The sequence below is a fragment of the Homo sapiens genome, chromosome 3 (assembly GCF_000001405.40).
Source record: "Homo sapiens chromosome 3, GRCh38.p14 Primary Assembly".
Taxonomy (NCBI): Eukaryota; Metazoa; Chordata; class Mammalia; order Primates; family Hominidae; genus Homo; species Homo sapiens.
The window spans coordinates 149058866-149080517 of record NC_000003.12 but is presented as its reverse complement, the minus strand read 5'-3'; the positions used below and the strand labels follow the sequence as shown (position 1 = coordinate 149080517).

The following is a 21652-nucleotide window of genomic DNA, read 5'->3' as shown; positions in this document are numbered from 1 at the left end:
AGAGAACATAGCTCTGCCTCATAGATAATATCTCTAAAAGTCTAGAGATGAATATCTGTCTAATACTCTGTTTAGTTCTGGCTGTAATCTCTTGAGTCAGTAGACATGCTGGGAGAGGTTTGAAGCAGCTTTCTTGTATATTTTCAAGGAATTTTTTAAAATTGAGATACATTTATTATAAAATTTACCATTTTAAAGTGTACAGTTGAGTAGTTTTTAGAATACTCACAAGGTTGTGCAACCATCCCTACAATCTAGTTCCAAAACATTTTCATTACTCCAAAAAGAAACCTCATTCCCATTTGTAGTCACTCCCATTATCTCTACCCCTCAGTCCCTGGCAACCATGAATCAGTCTTCTTCCTGTGTATATGGATTTACCTCCTCTTGACATTTCACGTAAATGAAATGATACAATATGTGGCATTTGGGTCTGGCCTCCAATACTCATTTTTATGTTAAATAGATTTTTTTTTTTAGTGTACTATTTTAATTCCCTTGTTTCTTTTACTATATATTTTGAGTTACTTATGATTGCTTTAGGGATTACAATTAACAACTTAATTTATAAGAACCTAGTTTGGATTAGTGCCAACTTAACAGTATATAAAAAACTTTGTGGCTGGGCATGGGGCATGGTGGCTCACGCCTGTAATCCCAGCGCTTTGGGAGGCCAAGGTGAGTGGATCACGAGGTTAGGAGATTGAGACCATCCTGGCCAACATGGTGAAACCCCATCTCTACTAAAAATACAAAAATTAGCTGGGCATGGTGGCACCTGCCTGTAGTCCCAGCTACTTGGGAGGCTGAGGCAGGAGAATCGCATGAACTAGGGAGTCAGAGGTTGCAGTGAGCCGAGATTGTGCGACTGTACTCCAGCCTGGTGACAGCAAGACTCTGTCTCAAAAAAACAACAACAAAGAAAACCCCAAAAAAACCTTTGCTCACAGCTCCATCCTATTGCCTTCCTTTGTGCTGTTATCCAAGTTATATCTTTATATATGTAGTATACCTATCAACAAAGATTTATAATTATATACTTTTTAATGAGATAGGACAAAAATTACAAAAAATTATACTTAAAAATTTTTATTTTTTTAAATAATTTTTTTTTTTTTTTTTTTTTTTTTTTTTTTTTTTTTTTAGAAACTGTCGTTACCCTTTTGCCCAGGCTGGTCTCAAACTTCTTTTGACAGTTTGATTATGATGTGACCAGGTGTGGATCTCTTTGAGTTTATTTTAGTTGGAGTTGTTGAGCTTCTTATATGTGTAGAGTAGTGGTTTCCATCGAATTGGGAAGGTTTTGGCTGTTATTTCTTTAAATATTTTTTCTGCCCCTTTCTCTTTTCTCCTTATGGTACTCTTATGTATGTGTGTTGGTATGCTTGATATTACAAGTTTCTGAGGCTCTGTTGTGTGTCATTTTTTTGTTCCTTAGATTGTATAATCTCAATTGACCTATCTTCAGCTTCGCTGATTTTTCTTATGCCTGCTCAAATTTGCTGTTGAGTCTCTCTGGTGAATTTTTTCTTCAGTTATTGTACCTTTTGACTCTAGAATTGCTGTTTGGTGAGACATCGTCTCCATGCTTTTAGACATGCGTTTTCATGTCGAAAGAAATGATTTGCTTTAGGTCTTTGAACTTATTTTTTTTTTTTTTTGAGACGGAGTCTTGCTTTGTCGCCCAGGCTGGAGTGCAGTGGCACGATCTCGGCTCACTGCAAGCTCTGCCTCCCAGGTTCACATCATTCTCCTGTGTCAGCTTCCCGAGTAACTGGGACTACAGGCACCCGCCACCTCGCCCGGCTAATTTTTTGTATTTTTAGTAGAGACGGGGTTTCACTGTGTTAGCCAGGATGGTCTCGATCTCCTGACCTCGTGATCCGCCCACCTCGGCCTCCCAAAGTGCTGGGATTACAGGCGTGAGCCACTGTGCCCGGCCAGGTCTTTGAACTTTTTAATTTTTTAGAGATAGGTTCTTGCTCTATTACCCAGGCTGGAGTGCAGTGGCGTGATCATAGCTCACTGTAACCTTGAACTCCTGCATTCAAGCAGTCCTCCCACCTCAGACTCCTGAATAGCTGGGACTACAGGCATGTACCACCATACCTGGCTAATTTTTCTATTTTTATTTTGTAGAAATGGGGTCTTGCTATGTTTCCCAGGCTGGTCTCAAATTCCTGGCCTCAAGAGATCCTCACACTTCAGCCTCCTAAAGTGCTGGGATTACAAGTGTGAGCCACCATGCCCAGCCCCTTTGAACATATTTAAAATAACTGACTTAAATTCTTTTTCTACTATGTCAAACATCTATACTTTCTTGGGGACAGTTGACATTGATTGCTTTTTTTCCCTGTGTATAGACCATACTTTCTTATTTTTTTTGCATGTCTTGTACTTTTTTTCTTGAAAAATTGACATTTTAAATAATGTGGCAGCTCTGGAAATCAGGGTGGTTTGTTGTTGCTGAGTTTTGTAATTAGTGTGTGTTTGTTAGGCTTCTAGGGTGGTTTGTTGCTGAGTTTTGTAATTAGTGTGTGTTTGTTAGTGACTTTCCTGAATTAATTCTGTGATGTCTATCCTTTATCGTGTGTGGTCACTGAAGTCTGTACTTGGTTAGCTTAGCGGTCAGCTGATGATTGTGCTGGAACTAATAAATCGTACATTCTTTGCTGAGAACTTCTGTATGTTAGGGCATTCCTTCAACACTCTAAGGCCCCTGACAACTCTGCTTTAGCTTTCACTTCTGGCTTGTTTAAATGCTCAAGTTCAGGCAAAGGTGAGCGTTTAGGGCCTTCTCAGGTCTTTCTTGAGAATGTGCACAGCCCTGGTCATGCATACCAGCCCTGTGCTTGCTTACGGCCTTCTAGATATCCAGAAATACACTGGAGCTTTTCAAAGCCCTCACAGACATCTCATTCCCTAGCTCTTCTTTATAAGCCTTTTTGTTTTTTTGCTTCAGCTGTTATCCACTGCCTCAGGTAGCCATGAAGTTAAAACACTTTCCTGTAAAATTGTTTTGACAAACATCCGCCCAAGGGAGGTTTTTTTGTACTTGGTGAGCTCAGAGGTTAAATACAGTCAGCCTTGCAAGTGGGGTCTTCCGGGGAACTTCAGGAGAATAACAGTTCTTTGGGAATGAATCTCTGAAAGAACTGTAACTCCATTCTCTTTTTTTCTGGTGACTGCCAGGCTTTACCTAGGATCCCAACAAGCTATTATTTTTATTTATTTATTTATTTATTTATTTATTTATTTATTTATTTATTTTGAGATGAAGTCTCGCTCTGTCACCAGGCTGGAGTGCAGGGGCACTATCTTGGCTCACTGCAACCTCTGCCTGCCGGGTTCAAGTGGTTCTCCTGCCTCAGCCTCCCGAGTAGCTAGGACTACAGGCGCGTGCCACCACACCCAGCTAATTTTTGTATTTTTAGTAGAGACGGGGGTCTCACCATGTTGGCTAGGATGGTCTTGATCTCTTGACCTCGTGATCTTCCCACCTCGGCCTCCCAAAGTGCTGGGGGCGTGAGCTACTGTGCCTGGCCGTGAGCTATTTTTAAAGGCTACAGGATTGCTGGGGATGGGACTGAAGTACTGATATTCAGCTGTTTATTCTTTTTATTCTTGAATAAATGTTACCCAGATTTCTGCAAGCCTTTGATTTAGTTCTCAGTGTTCTGAAACATTTGATTCTGACAAATAATTTATCTAGTTTTTTTGTTGCCTTTATTGAGGAATTTTTGAAAGTCCTCATTCTACCATTCTTTATTGTGTTACCCTCCTTCAGTTTTTAAAAATATACATCATAATATTTAAGTTAAATCATACAGTTTTTAATAAAGTAGAATCAGAATGGCATGAGTTGAAGGCTGGATATATTTTTCTTACCTAGTTCCATCCTGACTTATAAATGCCTTATTCCCTGACTTTTATATTCTGGAGAATTGAGGCTCAGGAACCACCCTGTGTGGGTTCAGATCCTAGCTCTGCTACCTTTTAGCTTTGTGACCTTGGGCAAGTTACTTTTCTGTGCTTCAGTTTCTTCATTTGTAAAATGGGAATAATGATAGTACCTCCCAATAGAGCTGTGAGGATTTAAAAAGTCAGTCTGTGCAATGTACTTAGACCAATGCTTGGCACATAGTAAGCGCTCAATAAGGGTTGGCTATTTTTCAGAAGTTATGATGTTGAAAATTTTAGATAATTTGAATTTGCTAGTTTACATTTGACTATTTTTTAAGACATTAAGGATTTGTTAACTTCCTAATGAATATAGATTAGAAAAATAATATTAAGGAGTCATAATAATATATATTAATATTTCTGTAGTTTGTGTCTAGAAAATATATTTTTCTTATGTGCAGTGTTTAGCAGTAGCATTAAAAAATGAATGGAAATCCCAGATAAAGTATAACAAAGTTATTGTCTATTATTTATAATGTAATATTATCTGTTTATCATTTTTATTAGGTTAATAATAATGAAATGGTTGCATTACAACGAGATCCTAATAACCCTTATGATAAGAATGCAATTAAAGTAAACAATGTGAATGGAAATCAAGTTGGCCATTTAAAGAAAGAGCTTGCAGGTGCTTTGGCCTATATCATGGACAACAAATTGGCACAAATTGAAGGGTAATGTACTTTCAGAATTTAGTTTTAATAATTGTGAATTATAGTCATCTTTGAACTTGTTAGGGCTTCTTGTTAGAGCCTATAAAGGTATGCTAACAATTTCTATCACTGTACTTTTGGTACGTGTTAAATAAATGTTTTATTTCTCCTTTTACATACTTCTACTACCCCAGCCATCAAACAATTGTCCTCTCATTTTCCTATGGAATTATTACCATGGAGAAAATAGACCTTGGTTCAAATATTAGGAAGTACATTCCATTTCTCCAAACCTTTTGGTACCTAGGTTTAGGAATTTGGAAGTGTTTATTTGTTTATTTATTTATTTATTTATTTTGAGACGAAGTCTCACTCTGTTGCCCAGGCTGCAGTGCAGTTGTGTGATCTCGGCTGACTGCAACCTCCGCCTCCAGGGTTCAAGCAACTCTCCCTGCCTTAGCCTCCTGAGTAGCTACAGGTGCCTGCCACCATGCCCAATTAATTTTTGTATTTTTTAGTAGAGACAGAGATTTGCCATGTTGGCCAGGCTGTCTCGAACTCCTGACCTCAGGTGATCTGCCCGCCTCGGCCTCCCAAAATGCTGGGATTACAGGCGTGAGCCACCGTGCCCAGCCTGGAAGTGTTTGTTTATATCAGAGGTTATAAACTGGTATTCTGTGATATGATGTAGGTGAATTTCATTTTGCCCTGCAGTGTTTTAGACATTTTTTCGTTCAGTACTAATTATTGAAATAGCTAAGTCCGCATTTTATACATATTAATTTATTTTCTTAAATACAAAAAACTTATTTTTCTCTTGACAAGTGGGAAATCTGGCAATGCAGGATGAGTTGTCACTTCCATATGACAATAGTTGACTGGAACTCTCCCTTTAGCTAGGGCATATGCTCTCCCAGTTTTATCACCTGTTTCTTTTTTCTTTTTCTAAACTCTTTCAATCTTTCAGTTACCTTTTCTCTTTTAGGCATTTGTACTTGTGATCTCAATTTAAGTATCTGGAATATTTAGGATCTTGATATTCTAATTCTAATTTTTAGGATATTCATATAATCCTAGGTGAGTTTGAAGAGAAAATAAATGCTCATAATGTCTCACTTTGTTTTCTCCTTTTTCAGTTTATCAGGTTTTTCAGTTATTGAGAATAACTTAGTGAATCACAAGTTCTTGCATTTCCCATTTTCCAAGCAGAATGAGTTACTACCCTCAGTGGTTCCGTTAGCCAAACTCTACCCTTTGATTTAACTTATTTTACTTATATTACAATCTTGTTTACAGGCCATCCTTGCATTTTTAAAACTGCTTTATTCCATTTTCTCAATTTTTTCTGGCACTCTGTTTCTAAAAATCACCCTTCTGATTGTTTATGGTTCTATTTCTTTTCCTTTTTTTCTTTCAAGTCTGCCCAACTAGTTCCTTATTACTTTACTTCAATGTAAAATGTAAATGATACACTTAAAATATTGAACTAATTCTTAGTGGGGATAAAAAGTAATGCTTCTGATTTCCCTTTCTTTTTCTCCCAAATATAATAGGGTAGTTCCTTTTGGTGCAAACAATGCTTTTACCATGCCTCTGCATATGACTTTTTGGGGAAAAGAAGAAAATAGAAAAGCGGTTTCAGATCAGTTGAAGAAACATGGATTTAAATTGGGTCCTGCACCAAAAAGTAAGTTTAGGGTTTCACTTAATATTATTCTGATATTGTAAGATGCAGGGATTATGAAACATTTATTCTCTCTTGGAGTTTGTTGGCTAATTTGTGCTCAAGGCTCCAAGGTACAACTTTTTTTCAGGAGTCTTTTTGAGGAAATCTCTGATTTTTCCTTTTGCCTCTATTGAAATAGATTCACACATAAAAATATACACAGTAAGAGTGAGGGGATATTAAAAAAATTAAAGAAAAAGTATATATGCAATGAAGTCTCATATATACCCTCCCCTAATTTTCCCTAATGGTAACATCTGGAAACCCCTGACTTTAAACATTCTTTTTGATAAATTTTAGGCAAAAATAATCTTCTGATAGCGAATGAAAAGGATTGCTTGGCAAGAGTTTGTTCAAATAATGTGGAATTACTTGTTTTTTTAGTGATTTAGTATTTAGCTTTTAAAATACCTCTAAAATACAAGGCTTTTAATGCAGTTTGTTATGCACGTTTTATTTATTTATTTGTGTATATATTTTGAGACAGAGTCTTGCTCTGTCACCCAGGCTAGAGTACAGTGGCCACGATCAGTGGCTGAGTGCAACCTTGACCTCCTGGGCTCCAGCAGTCCTTCCACCTGAGCCTCCTGAGTAGCTGGGACTACAGGCGCACACCATCACGCTCTGCTAATTTTTGTATTTTTTGTAGAGACAGAATCTCACCATGTTGCCCAGGCTAGTCTCAAACTACTGGACTCAGGCAAACCACCTGCCTTGGCCTCCCAAAGTGCTTGGGTTACAGGCATGAGCCACAGCACCCAGCCCTGTTAATGCATATTTTAAAAGCTACTTAATAAAAGATAAAAACCTACTTTATTTGATGGCTTTATTCTTTTTATTTTGTAAATTATAGCTTTAGGATTCAATTTGGAAAGTGGTTGGGGCTCTGGAAGAGCTGGACCAAGCTATAGTATGCCAGTGCATGCTGCAGTACAGATGACAACTGAACAGGTGTGCTTCTCTTTTATTTTGTAATCTAAAAGTGAATTTTAAATGTTGCAGGTTTGTATTTAAAAGAACAGGATGAATATGTACGTGTGGGTATTTGTGGTCTTCAAATATATTAAGTTATAATGAAACATGTTATAGAATAAATAGAATATATATATGTTAACATTTTATATAAAAAGTACTGATAAGGAATAAATCCATACGTGAACATTTGTACCCAACATACAAAACACACACGTTCCTGTTTATGCACGGCATATTTTTGTATCTGAAATGTTTTAAATGTTCAAGTAGTAATTTTAAGAAAAAAATTGAAGCTGAGACTTAACTCCTTTCAGTAATTTTGCAAATGCAGTGCTAAAGATTTAACTCCAAATTCTTCACATTGTCTAATTTGTAATTTAGGATGAGTTATGCTGAATTTCTTTGAAAAAAAAGTATATAAAGTAATTAATGCAGATCAATTTAAAAATAACATTAAAACTTTTTTGATGTTTGTATCTACCAGTGTTAGTCCTTTTATCTACTAATTGTAGTTACCATATTTACCCTGCTTATTGTTAGAAGGACTTGAGCTTGTTTCTGGTAGATAAGCCCCCGGTTACTTCTGATTTTTTAGACCTGGCCTGATTTCTTCTGAGCTGCTGCTGTGTTCATGTGTTAATTTTCAAAAATATCTGTATCACATATATGTTGATATAAAATTGGACTAACCTAGTTTAAATAGTCAATTAAGTTAGCATAATAATAAAAGTATCCTATAGTGCATGGCAAGTTCCTTATTGCAGTAATAATAAATGGAATGTCATTGACCTGGTAGGACTGAGAAAATATTTTGAATACAACTGATAGCATCACAGAATTTTAATGGCAGAAGGAACCTTAGAGACAATCTAAATTTAGTTCATCCCTTTCATTTTATAGGAATAAGACATGGGGCCATAAAGGTCAAGTCTTGCTGAAACTTACATATAAGCTTATTTGTGATAAAACTGTGACTGAAACTCGGGACTTAAAATTCTTTTATATTCTTTTACCTCCTAACAACTAAAGCACCTGTTCATTCGCTCTTCAGTGAGTAGTGTAATTCTAGAGTTGATTTATGTGCCTTTTTGGCGTTTGACTAGTTTGTGGTTTTTAAATTTAATTTAATTTCAATTTCTTAATTTTTTGGGACAGGGTCTCACTTTCTTGCCCAGGCTGGAGTGCAGTGGCATAATCATGGTTCACTCTATCCTCTACCTACTAGGCTGAAGTGATCCTCCCATCTCAGCATCCCTAGGAGCCAGAACTACAGGCATGCACCCCCATGCCTGGCTAATTTTTTAAAAATTTTTTTGTAGAGATGGGATCTCTCACTATGTTATCCAGGCTGGTCTCAAACTCCTGAGCTCAAGTGATCCTCCCACCTTGGTCTCCCAAAGTGCTGAGATTATTGGCATGAGCCACCACTCCTGGCCCGTTTGACATTAACGCCAGTTAATTAAATGATTTCAAATCTGACTTAAATGCAAGTATTATTTTAATTAGTTTGTTTTACATTGTTTCTTGTTGCTGTTTATTGTAGCTTAAAACAGAATTTGACAAATTGTTTGAAGATTTAAAAGAAGATGATAAAACCCATGAAATGGAACCAGCTGAGGTATTGAACCAATATTTTTTATTTAAGACTACTCAGAATGTTTAAATATACTTAGAATCTACTTTTTGTTTAATCACAGGATCTGCATGTGAAAAAGGAATGGCTTAATGTATTTCGCTTTATGACTTTTTATTTATAGGCTATTGAAACACCACTGCTTCCACATCAAAAACAAGCTCTAGCTTGGATGGTGTCACGGGAAAATAGCAAAGAACTTCCACCATTCTGGGAACAGCGAAATGACTTATACTATAACACAATAACAAATTTTTCTGAGAAGGACCGACCAGAAAATGTCCATGGAGGAATTTTAGCTGATGATATGGGTTTGGTAATTATTTTTTTCTTTAGTTAATAAAATCTAATTTTGTGATTATGATTTTCTAGAAAGTAATTTTGAAGTAAAAAGAGATAGGAATATGTTGGTACCAGTTTGGGACTAGATCTTACTATCTTTGTAGAACACAGTTTTTCCTGTAGTTTTTAGTTAAAATAGTGGTATAAAGATGTGTTCCTCAGTTTTCTTTTTTTTTTTTTTGAGATGGAGTCTTGCTCTGTCACCCAGGCTGGAGTGCAGTGACGCGATCTTGGCTCACTGCAGCCTCCGCCTCCCAGGTTCAAGCAGTTCTCCTGTCTCAGACTTCCAAATAGCTGGGATTACAGGCATGTGCCACCATGCCCAGCTAATTTTTGTATTTTTAGTAGAGACAGGGTTTTACCACGTTGGCCAGGCTGGTTTTGAACTCCTGACTTCAAGTGATCCGCCCGCCTTGGCCTCCCAAAGTGCTGGGGTTACAGATGTGAGCCACCCTGCCTGGCCATGTTTCTCAATTTTCTTTGCTCTTTGAAATTCAGGGTGACCTGTCTTTCATAGGTTTTCTTTTAAAAAGTAAAGACAAAACAATGTTATGTGAAATTGTATTCCATCACAAATATTGTGTTATGCAGAGTATTAAATAGATACTTATGTGTCCTTACACTAGCAGTTTTTATATTTTTCAGTCTCAGTAACCCTTTCTACTCATAAAAATTACTGATTTCAAAGAGCTTTTGCTTTTGTGTGCTGTTATCAGTAGTTATAGTATTAGGCAGTGGTAGCTAAAGATAGCAGTACAAACTCATTGCTTGTTAACATAAATAGCATATTTTTAAAAGAAAAATAACTATGCCAAAACATTAACATTTTTGTTGCAACAACTGGCATTGTCACATTTTTGCACATCTCTGTGTTTGGCCGAATAGATGGCAGCTGAATTCTCACCTGCTTCTTCATTCAGTCTGTTCTGTTAGGTTGTTTTGGTTGAAGTATATGAAGAAAATTTGTCCTTACGACGGTATGTTGCTGTAAAGAGAGGAGTATTGTAATAGCTTTTTAGATAATTGCAGATTTCTTTGATATACTGCATCAAAATTCAATAAATATTAGTTTATTAAAGGTTAATTGTTGTAATATGGAACGCTAAATCATATCAGTGAGCTTTTTATACCCTGTTTTGTTAAAATCTATTTGTGTATCTTGCTCATTGAATGAATATTTTACCCATGTATGATTTTATAACACCAGGCATTGCTCATTTAGAAAATGTTGGTTCATTGAGTTGGGCAGACCTACTAAATGTTGATGTATTTCATATGCAATATCCAAAACTTACATTCATTAATATTACCACTGATGTTATTAGAAAATCATTTACATTTTGGGAAGGCACTATGTTCATAGTGTCACACACAACTTTTCCAACATTCTAATTTTCTATTGAAAACTCACATTTTATCATTGACAAGCTCAGTTGTTTCCTTTGTAGATGACAGCCTCACTTTGTTCATTTTCTAGAAAGTATCTTTCAGACACTCAGTCGTGATTGATAGTTGTCATTCAAGTAAAAATGGTGTCGCATGAAAAAAGTGACTAGTTGAGCTTATAACTCCCATCTTGAGTGATTTTTCTCTAGCTAACCCTCATAGTTTGATATGCAACAGAAGTAGTTAATATGTAGTTTCCATTTCACTACACAGAATATTAAAAAGATTTGTACTGAAGTAATGAGACTTAATAAAATTAATGTGTACTGCTTCGTCAAGAACATTCTTCTTCTTTTTTTTTTTTTTTCTTGAGATGGAGTTTCACTCTTGTTGCCCAGGCTGGAGTAATGGTTCAGTCTTGGCTCACTGCACCCTCCGCCTCCCAGGTTCAAGTGATTCTCCTTCCTTAGCCTCCCAAGTAGCTGGGATTACAGGCATGCACCACCACACCTAGCTAATTTTTTGTATTTAGTAGAGACGGGGTTTCACCGTGTTGGTCCAGGCTGGTCTTGAACTCCTACCTCAGGTGATCCACCTGCTTCGGCCTCCCAAAGTGCTGGGATTACAGGCCTGAGCCACTGTGCCCAGCCAAGAACATTCTTAAGGAAAACTTTTTTTTTTAACTGTATGTGGCAGTTAAGAATATGATGACTAGTACTAATATACCTTAGTGCCAACTGCTTTGTTTTATGCTGAGGCACTTTTTTGACCATTGCTATTTGGGCTTTTTGTAGGATTAGTGCAGATGTTAACAGAGTAAGGTCTGTCTTAGTAGTATTATAAAAACAGTTTTGACTTTGCATTTTCGTGAAGGGCTCCTGGGAAACCCTCCCCATCCCCAGTGGCCTGTGGACCACACTTTGAAAACTGCTGTTATTTACACTGCTTTAAAATTGCCAGAGATTTACTAATGTATTGCCAACTATGAATTAAGCTGCAGTAAATATTGAAAAATTACATACTTCCACTTAAGAAAAATGCATAAGAAATATATCTTTTATGCTTTATGGAGAAGTTATGACTTTTAAGCTTGGTATTATCTTTAAGTCAAATTTTAATAAAATGATTATATGCATACTGGAATTACTAATCACTTTAGCTCCGAACTTCATGGCAAATGAGTAGTTATAAATAGTTGCATGATAAAAATCAAGAGTTCAGGATTAAATGTAGAATTGTAGAATAGCAGTCATTCAATAAAATGACACTTCTCAGAGATACTTGTAGTATTTTATAGTGTAAATCATTTAATAATTCCCTAATAATGCAGTGGGGGAAAGCATTTTCTAACTAAATGAAATACTCATTTTTCATTAATATACAGTACACTTTTGTGACCTTGAATGATATTTGATATTCGATTACTTGATTTTAAAATGGGAACGTTTTTCTGGTGAACTGGGTTTCACAATCTGACCATTTATCTTTTTAAAACATTTTTAAGGGTAAAACTCTTACGGCCATTGCAGTAATCCTTACCAACTTCCATGATGGCAGACCTCTTCCTATTGAAAGAGTTAAAAAGAATCTACTGAAGAAGGTAAAGTAGTAGTAAGTGCGCTTTATGTGAAACCTCCAGTTTATTGTGAAATCTTTAAATTTCATCATTAAAAAAAACTACCAAGAAATTGTGTTTTCAGAAATGCGATGAATGGTCTCTCTGTCTTTTATGTGTTGCTGATAAGAATGAAAGTTCGTGTCACATTCTTTTTACGTTTTCAGACAAGGTGTGGCTCTGTTGCCCAGGCTGGAGTGCAGTGGCGCAATCTCAGCTCACTGTAACCTCTGCTTCCCAGGCTCAAGTCGTGGGATTTCGCCATGTTGTCCAGGCTGGTCTCGAACTCATGAGCTCAAGCCATCTACCTGCCTCAGCCTCCCAAAGTGCTGGGGCTATAGGTGTGAGCCACCAGCAGGTATCACATTCTTGAGAACAATTGATAATTTGTATCAGGAGTCTTAAAATTGTTTATAATCTTTGAACAATTTTGCCAGTCAATAATGCCATTTCTAAGAAACTATCTGAAAGGAGTTACCAGAAATTCATTTTTTCCAAAGAAAATACAGGTTTTTTTTTATTATTATTATTTTTTTTTCCCTCAACATTGTTTTAAAGGCTGGGCATAGTGACTGGCACCTGTAGTTCCACCTACTTGGGAGGCTGAAGCAGGAGGATTGCTGGAGCCCAGGAGTTTGAGCCTATGGTCAGCTATGATTGCACTATTGCACTCCACCTTCAGTGACACTGTGAGACCCTGTCTCTAAAACAAATAAAAATAAAATAAAGGTGGACAATTTGAAACATCTTTTGACAAGGGAACAGTTAAACGATATAGCCATAAAACTTACTATTATGTAACCATTAAGTATTATTTTTGATGAATAATCACTTTCATGATTCTTTTTAGTTAAAAAATGACAGGTACAAATCTTTGTGTGGAGTTTGGTTCCTCACTTTGTAAATAATATATTCATGTGTGTTTTAAGTCCATTCACTACACTATCTGTACCAAAATGTTAATAATAACTTATGTCCTAGTGATGAGAATAAGGGTGACTTTTCTTGAAAATTTGTGTGTGTGTGTGTATATATATACATATATATATGTATATAATATAAACATACATTTATATTTGGTTTCTAAGAATTAAAAATTAGTTTAGTGAGAAAAATAAATGTTACTAGAGAGGAACAGTTACTTCTTTTCTTACCTGAAAATTCAAGTAACTTAAATAGAAGGAAATAGCAAAAAGATGTATGCAATATACTTCTTTTCTGAACTCTTCTGAATTACCATTCTTCCTAGTTTTTAGTTTTCAGAGAAGGCAGTACATCAGTTTCCTGTCAGTGCTATTGAGATTTTATTTTATTAATGTCTGCACTTAGTTTTACTTCCTACTTTCTACTTTTATTGAGAGTTAAACCTGTTGAAGTCTCAGGTTCAATTCCTCACCCTGAGCAACCTAATGTTTTATGTCTTGTTCTTCCTACATTTGGTTATTGAAACTGAAGTTTTAGGTTACCAGATTTGATAGAAGCACATAAGACTACTTACTGCTTTAGTCTCAATTATTAATTGAGAAATTATCAATTAACAATAAGGATTTCTCTTATTTTTCCCCAAGATAAGTTATATATTTAAAGTGTGTTTTATAGTAGAAAGGTTTTAGAATATTTGGGTTGCTACATTAATTGAAATGGCAGCTGAAGATGTGATTTCCAGCCAGGGATTTATTAAAAAAAAAAAAAAAATTGTCACTCTTTCAAGTATGTTTAGATATTCCAAACATAAGTAGACTGAAATATTGATTTAAATTCCCCTAGATTCTAACATACTATTATTTCATCCAGCTTGGACTTGATAAAAAGTTTATCTTTGAACTTTATAGAGAAAAAGTTTGCTGAGCAAAATATTTTAATATAAAGAATAATGCAAAGCTGGGCATAGTGACTCATTCCTGTAATCCCAGCACTTTGGGAGGCTGAGGCGGGCAGATCACCTGAGGTTAGGAGTTCAAGACCAGTCTGACCAACATGATGAAGCCCTGTCTCTACTGAAAATACAAAATTAGCTGGGTGTGGTGGCGCATACCTGTAATCTCAGTTACTTGGGAGGCTGAGGCAGGAGAATCACTTGAACTCAGGAGGTAGAGGTTTCAATGAGCCGAGATTGTGCCGTTGCACTCCAGCCTGGGCAACAAGAGTGAAACTCTGTCTCAGAAAAAAAAAAAAGAAGATGAATGCAAAGGACATCCTTTATGTTTGAATAAACATTTAGTTTTTTTGCATACTGTTTAATATAAATGGTTATAGTAATTATTGTAGACTTGATAGGATGTTTGATGAAAAGCATTTTTACCATCTCTTTCTTGGAGCTAATGCTTAGACATTAACTGTCTAAAGTAACTCTTCTAGTTACGTATCTCTAAAAATATTGTATTTGGGATTTTAAATTAATTTAATTTTATTTTTTGAGACAGAGGGAGTGCAGTGGCGCAACCTTGGCTCACTACAACCTCCACCTCCTCAGTTCAAGCAATTCTCCTGCCTCAGCCTCCCAAGTAGCTGGGATTACAGGTGCCCGCCACCATGCCTGGCTAATCTGTGTCTATTTAGTAGAGACAGGGTTTTGCTGTGTTGGCCAGGCTAGTCTCGAGCTCCTGATCTTAGGTGATCCGCCCGCCTCGGTCTCCCAAAGTGCTGGCATGAGCCACTGCGCCCGGCAGATTTTTAGTTTTTTTTGATTGGTACCTTTAAAGAGGATGAACCTTTTCAACCACATTTTTAGTAAGACTTAACTCTAAGGGGGGATTTTTTAAGTGCTTACAATTCAAATTTTATAAAATTGTTTTCAATTCATGTACATTGGTGCCTTTGGAAACAAAGGTACATTGGAAAAGAAAAGAAAATGGGCTAGCAGGAAAATACCCCATGGAGTAAGAAGAGAGGACACTCTGGGACCTGTACTATTATATATTAGAGTTATTTGCCCTGCAAATTCTAGAGAAAGAGAGGATGACAATGGCAGCCTCATTAAAGATCTGAACATGGAACATTGGTTTGAAAAGTTTGAAGTCTGAGAATTCTTAATTATAAAGTAAATCCCAGTTCTTGAATTTTTCTCACAATAATGTGTCATTTATAATTGAGATTTGCTTTCGGTATTCCTTTCGAAAAGGTGAAGGCCAAGTAGTTTTATTTATTTTTTTTTTTTTGAGATAACCCGTGAAAAAATTTTAAATCAGTTTGTATATTTTCCTCTTCACTTATTCACCCTCCCCTTCAGTTGCTCCAGAATTGGGTAGCAATTTAAGTCGTTTTTATTATGCAAAGTAAAGCAATATAAAACAGGATGCATTTAAAGTTATTTAAAACTGATAGCAGTACTGTTTAAGAAATATGCCTATTTACCCAGGAATATAATGTTAACGATGACTCTATGAAACTTGGAGGAAACAATACCAGTGAAAAGGCAGATGGACTAAGCAAAGGTAAATGCTAATTTTGAAATGATCCAATATTTGATCTGGTAAACTTTAATTTGAATATGACCCAATATTTGATTTGCGTTTTTTCAGCCTAATATTGTAATTCTAGTTTTGGCTTTGTACTGTACAAAAATTTAGGATCTCTTTTTTAAAAGGTCTTCCCTGAGTACTGATAGGAAAGGTTTCATGAAGGAGATGATTGAATTGGGTAGTATAACATTTAGAGAACTGGGGAAGAGCATTTTGGGTTGTGAAAAAAAATCTCATGAAAGGGTACTTTAAAAAGAGCATGTTTTATTCTGGGACCTCAGTGAATTTTGTTGTATTTAAAATGTAATATGCATGGATAACAGCAGATAATGCTAGAAAGCTAGCTTTAGAGCCAAATTCTGAAGTCATAGGAGAAATGGAAAGAGATCTGTGGATTTTACTTAAATGACCCTCATAAAGCTTATTTCTAAAGATAGATTAGAGCAGACTGAAAATATTTTAAGAGTAGTAGGTGAAAAATTGTAAATAACAATTGGTGCTATTACTTAAGTTTGGAACAGGAAAGAAATAGAAAGGTGGCGAGTTAGGGTAAGATGAGGTTTTTTTTGTTTTTGATTTTGTTCTGTGGTCTAACTCATCTACCTAGATGAGTTAGGTAGATGAGTTAGCAGTAGAAGGAAAGAAGTAAGGTTGAAGGAAAGTATAGATAAATGAGTGGATTAAAAGATAGGAAAATTGAGATTTTTATGGAAGATACCTTCTCATTTTCTTTGTAAAGTGAAATAGGTCATCTTGGAATAAAAGGAGTTATAATCTAGGCAAAGGGGTCAATGTAGTATGGATCATTCTGGTATGGATCATTCTGATAAATGGGTAGGGGAGCCGAACAGTGTTTAGTAAAAAGAGTTACCAAGTGACACAAGGTGACATCTGAGATTTGAACATGTAAATTTATAACAGCACCTATTTGTGGTTCTGTTGATTTTTTTTTCCAATAGCTCTTAGCTGCCTTGGTACAGCAAGACATTCAGCTAGTGTGGGGATGGGCTGGATGAGTACAAAGAAAAGACTGGGTCATAAAAATTTGAAGGTACTTTCTAATTAGAAATGAGGAAATACTAGATTAGGAAAAAAGTAGAGAAAATAGAGTAATGAAAGGAATGAAGATCTTAAGAAAACTGAAAATCAGTAATTAGAAAACCAAGGTTTTAAGAGGGATAATACTAGTTTCTAAGACACCTTACTAATACTTTATATTTGCATTTTTCTTTGAAATAGACGCATCTAGATGTAGTGAACAACCCAGTATTTCAGATATCAAGGAGAAGAGTAAGTTTCGCATGTCAGAATTGTCTAGCTCCCGCCCCAAAAGGTAAACTATTATGGTTTGATTATGTCATATGTTTATTTAGACTCTGTTTTCTTATGTGTAAAAGAGATAGAGGCTGGGCACGGTGGCTCACACCTGTAATCCCAGCACTTTGGGAGGCCGAGGCGGGCGGATCATGAGGTCAGGAGATTGAGACCATCCTGGCTAACACAGTGAAACCCCGTCTCTACTAAAAATAGACAAAAATTAGCCAGGCGTGGTCGTGGGCGCCTGTAGTCCCAGTTACCCAGGAGGCTGAGGCAGGAGAATGGCGTGAACCCGGGAGGCAGAGCTTGCAGTGAGTTAAGATCGCACCACTGCACTGCAGCCTGGGTGACAGAGTGAGACTCCGTCTCAAAAAAAAAAGAAAAAGAGAGAGATAGAGATGACCATGACCCTTATATTTGTTAAGTAGTTCTTTCAAATACATTCTTTTATTTGAAACTACCAAGATCACTATGACTTAGGCAGATAGAGTATTCTCATTTTACAGATGAAGAAGAATGATACTGACCTATAAAAGAAATGAATTGGTAAATTTTAATAATCACTCATCTTTCTACTACTTTTTTTCTATTTTGTCAAGGAACTAAGATCTAGATCTTGGGATTTTTGCTTTTTTTTGAGATTTTAGAAGTTTTCTTTATGGATTTAAGGGGATGAAAACTGAAGAATATTTTATTAGATAACTTGACAAAAGCATTCTTGATCGTTTCAGTTCTTCACATGTAGTGGAAATAAGACATGATAAAGTTATTTGTGGACAGTATTATATTAACATAGACTAGAGGGAGAATTTGAATAAAAGATGTAATTCCCCTCTGATCTTGTCTTGAATCTGTTAACTTTACAAACTTCATTTATCTTCTGAAGTAGGTCTAAAAATTGGGCTTTTGTTGTATTGTCTACCATCAGTATCTACACAAGTCATCGCAAATTTGTCTCTGCTAGCTATTTCATCAACAAAGGTTTTGAAACTGGCTATGTTAATTGTTCTGTCATTAATAGCTGTCTGAACTAAGCACAAAGCCAGCACTCATCAGTGTTATCTAAATCTAATTGCTTCAGATTTAGATAAATGACAAATGTTACAACTTTGAACTTATCATAAACCTGGGTAACACAACACTGTTAATTGGACAAGATCAGATTAAAGGACATAGAAATAATAATGGTGAGGACATGAGAAAAACTTAACAACAGCTGACACACATGTTATAGCTAATAGTTATGTTATTGTGTAACAGGCACTCTTTTAGGGGCTTTTGCATGTAGTAACATTTTATTCTATGAGGATTATATTTTTATTTCTATTTTTCTTATGAGGAAACAGGCATTGAAGAATATTAGGTAATTTACTTAAAATCACATAACAAATTACTGGTGGAATGAGGATTTAAAGCTAGGCAGTCTGACTTCAGAATTTATTGCTCTTAGGCACTTAATCACTGTTAAACTTTCTACACAAAATTTATGAAATTTCCTATTGTGAAAGAATTACATTTTTGCCTTTTGGCTGCTTATTTCATTGTGTTAGAAGTATTTTCTTTGATAAGAGCCAATTCTTTTTTCTTTTCTTTTCTTTTTTTTTTTTTTTGAGACAGAGTTTTGCTCCTGTCGCCCAGGCTGGAGTGCAATGGCATGATCTCGGCTCACTGCAACCTCTGCCTCCCGGGTTCAAGCAATTCTCCTGCCTCAGCCTCCTGAGCAGCTAGAACTACAGGCACGCACCACCACACCTGGCTAGTTTTTGTATTTTTAGTAGAAACGGGGTTTCACCATGTTAGCCAGTCTGGTCTCAAACTCCTGACCTCAGGTGATCTGCCCACCTCCGCCTCCCAAAGTGCTGGGATTGCAGACATGAGCCACCGTGCCTGGCCACGAGCCAATTCTTTTTTGTTCCAGTTTTATATGCTTTAATTGAACTACCAAATATTAAACCTGGTATTGAAATTTTTAATTTTTTAGAATGACTTAGTTTTTCAAATTTATTTTATTTTATTTTATTTTATTTTATTTTTTTGAGATGGAGTGTCGCTCTGTCAGGCGGGCTGGTGTGCAGTGGCGCAATCTCCGCTCACTGGAAACTCCGTCTCCTGGCTTCACGTCATTCTCCTGCCTCAGCCTCCCGAGTAGCTGGGACTACAGGCACCCACCACCACGCCCGGCTATCAAATTTATTTTAATAATAGTGAAATTCGCTGGGTGTAGTGGCACGCACCTGTAGTCCTAGGTACTCCCGAGGCTAAGGCGGGATGATCACTTGAGCCCAGGAGTATGAGGTTGCAGTGACTTCTGATTGTGTCACTGTACTCCATCCTGGGCAAAAGAGTGAGACCCTGTCTCAAAAAACAATAACGGTGGTACTCCATTTTGTATAGTTAATGCATCTATCTGGTTATGAAAGCAGAATGCTTTTAGCAGATCTGACTTTCATTTGTCAAAATCTTTAAAAAATTTTTCAAAAAATAAATGAGTAGGACAAAAGTTTTTTATTGCATTTATTAAACATGTTTGTATATCTTATTTTGCTTTGGGTTGGTCCAAAAATTTCTTTGTGTATACTTAATTTTAGAAGAAAAACTGCTGTCCAGTACATAGAAAGCAGTGATTCAGAGGAAATTGAAACAAGTGAATTGCCGCAGAAAATGAAAGGTAACATGTAATAGATTTGATTTGATAATGTGTCCTATATTCTAATGTCCTGTTTTGCCCATTTTTATGTTTATTTTTGTTTTATTTTTAGGCAAACTGAAAAATGTACAGTCTGAAACTAAAGGCAGGGCGAAAGGTATGTGTATACTATATACCCATAATCTAGACTTCAAGATTATTAAAGTACAGCTCCATTGATTTGTATCTCGCTAGGTTGGAATGTTTTAGTAATAGCTCTTAAACTTGGCTGATGTTTACATTTGAACTCTTCATGGAGCTAACCATGGGTTTTAAATTAATTTTGTAAAGGAGGAAAAGTGAATAAATAGTTGCAAATTAAAATCTAAGGGATAATAATATTTAAACTATACTTAAAACAATTTTCTACTACCTATAAAATGACTTCAATAAAACCTATGTGTGTAGTATGAATAGTAATTACAAAATTAGGTTGAGAATGTCTTCCTGGCAATACTATTATTGTTTACATTATTATACAGATGTGAAAATAATCAAATTTTTTCTTTTTCTTTAAAATATGTTTTATTTTCCTGTAATTCACATCATACTATATTTCTCATTCGTTGAGAAATTGTATTGCATTTGGAAAATAACTGATCATCTTGACTGATCTGAAAATTTGGCAGCCTTATCATTAGGAATCAAACTGTTTGTTTCCTTGAAAAATTCTCCTTCCACCTGAGAGCCGAATTACTTTGCATATGACTGCTCCTACTTTCATTTCTTCTCCTCAAGTCTTACCATGAATGACTACATCGTTTCTCTGAGTTGAAAAGATATCCTTAGTGTCAGAGGTAGTAATTTTGGTTACCAAATATTTTAACTTAATAATATAAGCTCTTACAATAGAGGGTGAAAATGATATTCTATTTCTTACCCTTAGAAAGTACCTGTACTCTAGCACAGGAGATAATTTGAAAAAAATTTAAGATTCTTTGTTGTTTTATCAGCAGGATCTTCTAAGGTTATAGAAGATGTGGCATTTGCATGTGCATTAACTTCATCTGTTCCTACAACAAAAAAGAAAATGTTGAAAAAGGGTCAGTAAATATCCTTGTTTTCTAGTTTTTGGTTTTTTTTCTGTTTTTGAATGAAAAAATTTAAAATTTTAAGTTATAAAACCATATTACAAGAAGTTTAGAAAATAGAGACTATTTTTTAAAGTATATAACCCATTAAAAGAACAAAGCTACCTCATAATTTGTTTTCCTTTTGGTGCATTTTCCTACTGTATTTGTTTTAGTTAGGGCCAAAATGTGATGGGGGCCCTTACTCCTCTGAATAGCAGAGATATTTCTTCTAGTGATGGCACAAAGCAATTTGTGGCTGCTTTAAAGCTTAATTTAATTTTGGTTAATTTAAGTTAAAGGTTTAATTTTTTGGTATTAGAATTTGCTTTTCATTTTAAAATGTTAGTGATCTTTGTTATGATTTTATATTTTGTAATTCATAGGAAAACAACACTGCTTAAGAGACTAAATATTTGAGATGGGAAGAGATTGAACTAAGGTTGAGAAGATCTGAGACAAATTATATCTCTGCCCCTTGGTCTCCATTATTTTACATGTTGGGGATATAGCAGGCTATCTGTTTTCATATAGCATATGATGTAATGATGAGAGAAATATACAATAAGCAAGTCAATATAATTTTAAATAATGAGAAGTAATGTGAAGAAAAAGGAGGATAATGAAGTAAAGATTGACCTGAAGGGGCTTGTTTATGAAGCTAACATAGACTCATGAGAAAGAGCCGACTTTTGGTCCAAGAATCAGATAATTAGGAATAGAAAATATAGGCATGTTGGGTGGATTATTCTTTACCCTAATTTTAGAAATTTAAAGAAATGTGGAAATTTCGGTTGAGATAGAATTAAATTACACATTAGAAAC

The 21652-nt window shown here is 35.6% G+C and overlaps 1 protein-coding gene across 9 annotated transcripts in view; it reads left to right on the top strand.

Moving 5' to 3' along the window:
• HLTF (helicase like transcription factor) overlaps positions 1-21652 on the top strand; it is a 56471-nt gene that overhangs the window by 6016 nt on the left and 28803 nt on the right. For 5 of the 9 annotated variants that reach the window (NM_001318935.2, NM_139048.3, NM_003071.4 and 2 more), the window contains exons 3-13: positions 4471-4637; positions 6170-6303; positions 7196-7293; positions 8861-8935; positions 9075-9266; positions 12183-12278; positions 15652-15727; positions 16994-17087; positions 19660-19739; positions 19831-19875; positions 20711-20800. In NM_001318935.2, the coding sequence (NP_001305864.1) occupies positions 4471-4637; positions 6170-6303; positions 7196-7293; positions 8861-8935; positions 9075-9266; positions 12183-12278; positions 15652-15727; positions 16994-17087; positions 19660-19739; positions 19831-19875; positions 20711-20800 (1147 nt within the window). The remainder of the gene's footprint in view (positions 1-4470; positions 4638-6169; positions 6304-7195; positions 7294-8860; positions 8936-9074; positions 9267-12182; positions 12279-15651; positions 15728-16993; positions 17088-19659; positions 19740-19830; positions 19876-20710; positions 20801-21652) is intronic. The other 4 variants (XM_017007079.3, NM_001318934.2, XM_017007078.2 and 1 more) reach the window with 1 other exon arrangement.